Source organism: Homo sapiens, chromosome 9 (assembly GCF_000001405.40).
Source record: "Homo sapiens chromosome 9, GRCh38.p14 Primary Assembly".
Taxonomy (NCBI): domain Eukaryota; kingdom Metazoa; phylum Chordata; class Mammalia; order Primates; family Hominidae; genus Homo; species Homo sapiens.
This window is the reverse complement of record NC_000009.12, coordinates 19,199,939-19,207,993: the sequence shown is the minus strand read 5'-3', so window position 1 is coordinate 19,207,993 and position 8,055 is coordinate 19,199,939. Positions and strand designations below refer to the sequence as shown.

Sequence of the window (8,055 nt, the reverse complement as noted above, 5' to 3'; positions counted from 1 at the left end):
CACAAGAAATATTCATATCTTTTTGTCTTGAAAGGAACTCAAGCTAGCTATTAAAATGTATTCGTGTGTGTGTGTGTGTGTGTGTGTGTGTGTGTGTGTGTGTGTGTGTGTTTTAAAAGGTTAACAATAATTTTCTGGAGAGAATGGATATAATGGTTATTTTTATATTCTTCATACTTTAACCTATTTTAAAATTTTTCTACAGGAAAGATATACACTTCTATTATCAGAAAAAAAATGCTATAGCAATTTTTATGAGGCCAGGTGTGGTGGCTCACACCTGTAATCCCAACACTTTAGGAGGCTGATTGCTTAAGGCCAGGAGTTTGATACAAGCCTGGGCAACATAGCACGACTCTGCCTCTACAAAATAAAACTAAAAAAAAATTATACACTCAAAGATGAGAAAAATCTAAAGCCATTATCAGATAGCAGCTTATTGAATGTATATTTCTCAAACCTTTTATGTTAATGCTAGGCAGCTAGAACCCAGACCTTTTCAGAAATTCGCATAAGATCCCAAAAGGAAGTAAATCCTCATATTGATAATGTTCTTGTTCTTAAGCAGAGTGTTTATTCTATTATATTTAACAACACATTCTTTTGTATGTATCAAATATTACACTCAAATTTTTCTTTTTTTTAATCCTGAAAGGGCCAAAGATAAACTTCCTGTTTCCCCAGTATTTGCCCAAGCCTCCCATGGCAGGACTCACATACAGGGCCTTTTTTACAGCTAATGCTGCTATAAGTAGCATTTCTAAAAGCATTTCAGAAACTATGCCGGGCACAGTGGCTCACACTTGTAATCCCAGCTCTTTGCAGGCTGAGGCAAGAGTGTGGCTTGAGCTCAGGAGTTTGAGGCCACAGTGAGCTATGATCATGCCACTGCACTCCAGCTTAGGTGACAGAGCAAGACCCTTTCTGTAAAAATAAAAAGTATTTGAGAAACTGGAACAGATAAGACAGACCAATATTACGCTCAAGTTTTCCTCATATTATGGTAAAGTTGAAATTATTGAACTAGGCTGGGCATAGTGGCTAACACCTGTAACCCTAAGAACTTTGCAAGACTAAGGCAGGAGGATTGCTTGAGCCCAGGAGTTCAAGGCCAGCCTGGGCAGCATAGTGATAATCTGTCCCTAAAAAAAAATAATAATAACCATACCTGGCCAACATCGTGAAACCATGTCTCTACTAAAATACAAAAATTAGCTGGGTTTTTTGGTGCATGCCTGTAATCCCAACTACTTGGGAGGTTAAGGCAGAAGAATCACTTGAACCCGGGAGGCAGAGGTTGGAGTGAGCTGAGATTGCCCCACTGCACTCCAGCCTGGGTGACAGAGTGAAACTTCTTTTCTGAAACTGTCTCAAAAAAATAAAAATTAAAAGGCCAGGCGCGGTGGCCTACGCCTGTAATCCCAGCATTTTGGGAGGCCAAGGCGGGCAGATCACAAGGTCAGGAGATCGAGACCATCCTGGCTAATATGGTGAAACCACATCTCTACTAAAAATATAAAAAATTAGCCAGGTGTGGTGGCAGGCGCCTGTAGTCCCAGCTACTCGGGAGGCTGAGGCAGGAGAATGGCGTGAACCCAGGAGGCGGAGGTTGCAGTGAGCCGAGATCGAGCCACTGCACTCCAGCCTGGGCGACAGAGCGAGACTCCATCTCAAAATAAATAAAATTAAATTAAAATTAAAAAATAAATATTAAAATTCAATGTAAAACAATTAAGTTATGATGATAAACATCATACGATATCAACTCACACAAGATTCATGGTCCTTTTCAATGTCAGGTAAATTCATCCTTGATTTCATGAAAATCCAGGGATTAAAGCAGAGTAGTTTCATCTAAGTGCAGCTAATGTCTATTCCATTTTCAGGTATGTCCGTGGAGAACATACCTGAAAATGATATGTTCATGGAGAATCAACTTGCCTTTCATTCACTTCAACTTGTCTTTCATTCAAATATTCAGATATTTCATTTCAGATATTTCCTGAGCCATATGTTAGGTGCATGCCAAATTCATGCTGGGGATATTGTGTTGAACAAACCAGGCATGGTTCCTGCCCTCACGGAGTTTACAGCCTAGTGTGGTCCTAGCATACCGCCATGCCAATAATGTGCAGTTGTTTTTCTTTTTTTCCAGAAGGATCTCACTCTGTTGCCTACGCTAGAGTGCAGTGGTGCAATCATAGCTCACTGCAGCCTCCAACTGCTCGCTCAAGCAATCCTCTTACCTCAGCCTCCCAAGTAGCTGGGACTACAGGCATGTGCCACCATAATCAGCTGATTTTTTAAAAATTTTTTTGTAGAAACAGGACCTCACTTTGTTTTCTGGGATGGTCTTTTATTATTATTATTATTATTATTGTTTTTTTTTTTTTTTTTGAGATGGAGTCTTGCTCTGTTGCCAGGCTGGAGTGCAATGGCGTGATCTCGGCTCACTGCAGTCTCCACCTCCTGGGTTCAAGCGATTCCCCTGCCTCAGCCTCCCAAGTAGCTGGGATTAAAGGTGCATGCCACCATGCCCGGCTAATTTTTTTTTTGTATTTTAGTAGAGACGGGGTTTCACCATGTTGGCCAGGATGGCCTCGATCTCCTGACCTCATGATCCACCTGCCTCGGCCTCCCAAAGTGCTGGGATTATGGGCGTGAGCCACCGCGCCCAGCCTTTGGGCTGGTCTTGAACTCAGGGCCTGAAGTGATCCTCTTACCTCCCCTCCCAAAGTGTTGGGATTACAGGTGTGAGTAACCATGCCTGGACCTTTTTTTTTTTTTTTTTTTTTTTTTTTTAAGATACAGGTAGGGCCAGGGCTGGGCCCAGTGGCTCACTTCTATAATCCCAGCTATTTGGGAAGCCCAGGAGGGTGGATGGCTTGGGCTCAGGAATTCGAGACCAGCCCAGGCAACATGGCAAAACTCCATCTCTACTAAAACTACAAAAATTAGCCAGGCATGGTGGCCTGTACCTGTAGTCCCAGCCATTCAGGAAGCTAAGGTAGTAGGATCACTTGAGCCTAGGAGGCGGAGGTTGCAGTGAGCCAAGATCATGCCACTGCACTCCAGCCTGGGTGCAGAGCCAGACTCTGTCTCACGAAAAAATAAAAATAAAAAAAATAAGGAGGCTGGGCACGGTGGCTCACTCCTGTAATCTCAGCACTTTGGGAGGCCAAGGTGGGCCGATCACTTGAGTCCGGGAGTTCAAGACCAGCCTTGAAGACCAGCCTGGGCAACATGGTAAAACCCTGTATCTACTAAAAAATAAATAATATTAATAAATAAAATAAAATAAAGATATAATTAACAGCTAGGCGCAGTGGCTCAGGCCTGTAATTCCAGCACTGTGGGAGGCCAAGGCAGGAAAATCTCTTGAAGCCAGGACTTGGAGACCAGCCTGAGCAACATGGTGAGACTCCATCTCTACCAAAAATATACAGAAATTAGGCGGGCATGGTGGCATGGCACTTGTGGTGCCAGCTACTCTGGAGACTGAAGTGAAGGATCGCTTGAGCCCTGGAGGTGGAGATTGCAGTAAGTGGAGATTGCACCACTGCACTGCACTGCACCACTGCACTGTTGTCTGAGCAACAGAGGGAGACCCTCTTTAAAAAAAAATGCTGGAACTCATAGATACAATGGATTGAGTGCTCAGGGTTTTCCCTAATCACTAGGTAAAACCAGCATGGTTGATGTCTTTGTGAAGGTACTTTTCCAGCTACACCCAAGCTTTAATGCACAGGCAATCACCAGGAATCTTGGTAAAATGCAGACTGTGATCAGTAGGTGTGTGTTGGATCTGAGATTTTGCGTTTCTTTTCTTTCTTTCTCTCTTTCTTTCTTTCTTTCTCTTTCTTTCTTTCTTTTTTTGATGGAGTCTCGCTCTTGCACCCAGGCTGGAGTGCAGTGGCGCAATCTCGGCTCACTGCAAGCTCTGCCTCCCGGGTTCACACCATTCTCCTGCCTCAGCCTCCTGCGTAGCTGGGACTGCAGGCGCCTGCCACCGTGCCTGGCTAATTTTTTGTATTTTTAGTAGAGACGGGGTTTCACCATGTTAGCCAGGATGGTCTCGATCTCCTGACCTCGTGATCCGCCCACCTTGGCCTCTCAAAGTGCTGGGGTTACAGGCGTGAGCCACCACGCCTGGCCTCTTTCTTTTTTTGAGAAGTAGTCTCACTCTGTCACCCAGGCTGGAGTGCAGTGGCACCATCTTGGCTCACTGCAACCTCCGTCTCCTGGGTTCAAGCAATTATCCTGCCTCAGCCTCCTGAGTAGCTGGGATTACAGGTGTGCGCCACCATGCCCGGCTAATGTTTTTTGTATTTTGAGTAGAGATGGGGTTTCGTGATGTTGGCAAGGCTGGTCTTGAACTCTTGACCTCAGGTGATCCACCCACCTTGGCCTTCCAAAGTGCTGGAATTACAGACATTAGCCACCACGCCTGGCCAGATTTTGCATTTCTAATAAACTCACAGATGCTGCCTGTGCTGATGGTCCACTGATCCCATTTTGAGTGCAAGGAGTTAGACTATGTCATCAGGAGAATATCAGCTGAGGCTCCTTCAGGTGTTTCTGTGTGAGGGCTGTCCTGTCCTCCATATAGTATATAGCTTCTCCCCACCTTGGCCAGCACAATCTCTGTTCCACCCAGCCCCCAGCTCTTTAACAGGTTTTACACACACACACACACGCCCGCATGCGCACACACACATATGTATTTTGTTTGTTTTTGAGACAGGGTCTTGCTCTGTCGTCAGGCTGGAGTGCAGTGGTGTGATCACAGCTCACTGCAGTCTCAACCTCCCAGGATCAAACCATCCTCCCACCTCAGCCTCCCGAGGAGCTGGGACTAGAGGTGCATGCCACTATGCCTAGCTAATTTTTGTTTTGTTTTGTTTTTGAGAAGGAGCTTCACTCTTTTTGCCCAGGCTGGAGTACAATGGTGCAATCTCAGCTCAATGCAACCTCCACCTCCTGGGTTCAAGCGATTCTCTCTGCCTCAGCCTCCCAAGTAGCTGGGATTAAAGGCGCCTGCCACCACGCCCGGCTAATTTTTTGTATTTTTAGTAGAGATGGAGTTTCACCATGTTGGCCAGGCCAGTCTCGAACTCCTGACCTCACGTGATCCTACCCGCCTCGGCCTCCCAAAGTGCTGGGGTTACAGGCCTGAGCCACCGTGCCCAGCTGTGCCCAGCTAATTTTTAAATTGTTTGGACAGACAGATGCAGGGGGGCGGGTCTCCCTATGTTGCCTAGGCTGGTCTCTAGCTCCTGGCTTCAAGCCTCACTGTGGCTCCCAAAGTGCTGGGATTACAGGCAGGAGCCATTGTGCCCCGCCTTCAACGGGTTTCTTGTTCTGAGATCTGAGGGTGTTTGCCGGACCCACAGCTGCCTGACCCAGGGCCTGTTTCCTATCTCAGGAGGGGCCTTTGTGCTACTTCTCCTTGAGATGCTACTCCCTCCCATCCCCCAGGAAGTGATATATGGCCTCTCCTCCCTTTTGCAGGGATACTTGGCAACCAGACCCTTTGTGTATTTATGGCCCATTAACAAACTTTATCTAAGAGATAAGAAAGATCGTGAAAACCAGCTGCCCTTTGTTCAGATCATTTCACTTTGAAATAAGACTTACCCCTCTCTATTTTTAGTCTGCTGTTTATTTTGTAGGTTTGGATAAGGTGATTATAGCCCAAGGCTTGTTTTGATCTTTGTTCCTTAAGCTCTGGGGTGATTGGTAAACATTTTAGAAGCCAGTGGCTACTAGCTTTTATTTTAGCTTTTTCAGGATCATAGAATTGTAGACTTCGACCGTAGAAAAGGGCTTTCAAGGAGTTGTAGCTTAGCCCCCTTTATCTGACAAATAGGAAACAGGAGTTTTCTGTCAGGAGCCCATGGAGTTTCTGTACCTTACCAAAGACTACACAATTTAGGGCCAACTGGGCTGCTAGAGTCCCTCAGACCTTTTAAACTGTGCTCCAAGGAGCTGCTTAGACCTGCCTGCCCTGATATGTTTGTGTTTGGAGGAGTGGAGATAAAGGAGTACCTCAAGCAAAGCAGCGCCATTCATAACACTTTCATCCATTTCACATCCATTTCATACAATCTAAGATTTTAGAACTTGGATTTTATTTGAACAATGAGCTTTATATCTTAAAAAATTAATCATTTTATTTCACCTTGATGTCTGCAAATTAGTCTTTATTAAATATCTGTAGTTTAAGAGTCACATTTTTCTATTCTCATTTTACATGCAGAGTTTGAGCCAGAGCTAAAATTCTGTATCTGTGGAAAAGCTAAAGAAAGGAAGTCTGACACTTAGAACATTTAAATACAATATTTAAATACCCATTTTATCTTAGGCAGGAACTCATATTGTAAAGATATGTCTTCCATTTAGAAAGATAGAACATGCATCATCTTATCTAGTCACTGTTAGCATTTTTATGATACTTTTCCAACTCTTATATTGAAAGTTATACCCATTGATTTTCACCCAAGCCTTGGGAAATTAAAAACCCTTGTTGAGATACAATTTACTTAACACATAATTCTCCAATTTAAGCTGTACAATTCAATGTCTTTTAGCCTATTCACAGACTTGTGCAGCTATCTCCACTATCTAAATCCAGAACATTATCATCATTCCAAAAAGAAACCCTGTTGGCTGGGCGTGGTGGCTTATGCCTGTAATCCCAGCACTTTGGGAGGCCGAGGCAGGCAGATCATGAGGTCAGGAGATGGAGACCATACTGGCTAACACGGTGAAACCCCACCTCTACTAAAAATACAAAAATTGGCCGGGCGCGGTAGAACGCACCTGTAGTCCCAGCTACTCAGGAGGCTGATGTAGGAGAATCGCTTGAACTGGGGAGGCAGAGGTTGTAGTGAGCCGAGATCACGCTGCTGCACTCCATCTCAAAAAAAAAAAAAGGATGCTTCAAGATGAAGCTGAACATCTCCTTCCCAGCCACTGGCTGCCAGAAACTCATTGAAATGGATGATGAATGCAAACTTCGTACTTTTTATGAGAAACGTACGGCCACAAAAGTTGCTGCTGACACACTGGGTGAAGAATGGAAGGGTTATGTGGTCCGAATCAGTGGTGGGAACGACAAATAAGGTTTCCCCATGAAGCAGGGTGTCTTGACCCATGGCCATGTCCACCTGCTACTGAGTAAGGGGCATTCCTGTTACAGACCAAGGAGAACTGGAGAAAGGAAGGGAAAATCAGTTCATGGTTGCATTGTGGTTGCCAATCTGAGCATTCTCAACTTGGTTATTGTAAAAAAAGGAGAGAAGGATATTCCTGGACTGACTGATACTATGGTGCCTCATCACCTGGGACCCAAAAGAGCTAGCAGAATCCATAAACTTTTCAATCTCTCTAAAGAAAGCCCTTAAAGAAGGTAAGAAACCTAGGACCAAAGCACCCAAGATTCAGCGTCTTGTTACTCCATGTGTCCTGCAGCACAAACGGCGGTGTATTGCTCTGAAGAAGCAGCATACTAAGAAAAATAAGGAAGACGCTGCAGAATATGCTAAGCTTTTGGCAAGAGAATGAAGGAGGCTAAGGAAAAGCGCCAGGAACAAATTGTGAAGAGACGCAGACTTTCCTCTCTGCGAGCTTCTACTTCTAAGTGAGTAAAAAATAAATAAGATCAGACTCACAAAAAAAAAAAAGAAAAAAGAAAAAGAAAAGAAACCCTGTTACTCCCATTGCCCTCTTCTCGGCCCCTGGCAATCACTAATCTCCTTCTTATATCTATAGATTGCTTATACTGGATATTTTATTTAAATGAAATCATACAATATGTGGCCTTTTGTGTCTGGCTTCTTTCACATGTGTAATGTTTTCAAGTTTCATCCATGTTGTAGCATGTATCAGTACTCTTTATGCCTGGATAGTAACTCATTGTATGGCTATTCCACGTTTTGTTTATTCATTCATTATTTGATGGAAATTTGAGTGTTTTCCACCTTTTGGCCATTATAAATGATACTGCTATGATCAATGATATATAAGAATTTGGCCAGGCAGGGTAGCTCAAGC

At 44.2% G+C, this 8,055-nt stretch overlaps 1 pseudogene, besides 1 other annotated feature; it reads left to right on the top strand.

Annotated features, from left to right (window-relative positions):
• Window positions 5,030-5,548: an enhancer, noted in NCBI's record as "NANOG-H3K27ac-H3K4me1 hESC enhancer chr9:19202444-19202962 (GRCh37/hg19 assembly coordinates)". NCBI's record gives its function as "activates a minimal SCP1, AML or CMV promoter by ChIP-STARR-seq in naive H9 embryonic stem cells {active_cell/tissue: H9 hESC(naive)}" and the evidence as "EXISTENCE:reporter gene assay evidence [ECO:0000049][PMID:30033119]".
• RPS6P10 (ribosomal protein S6 pseudogene 10) lies at window positions 6,939-7,671 on the top strand (annotated as a pseudogene).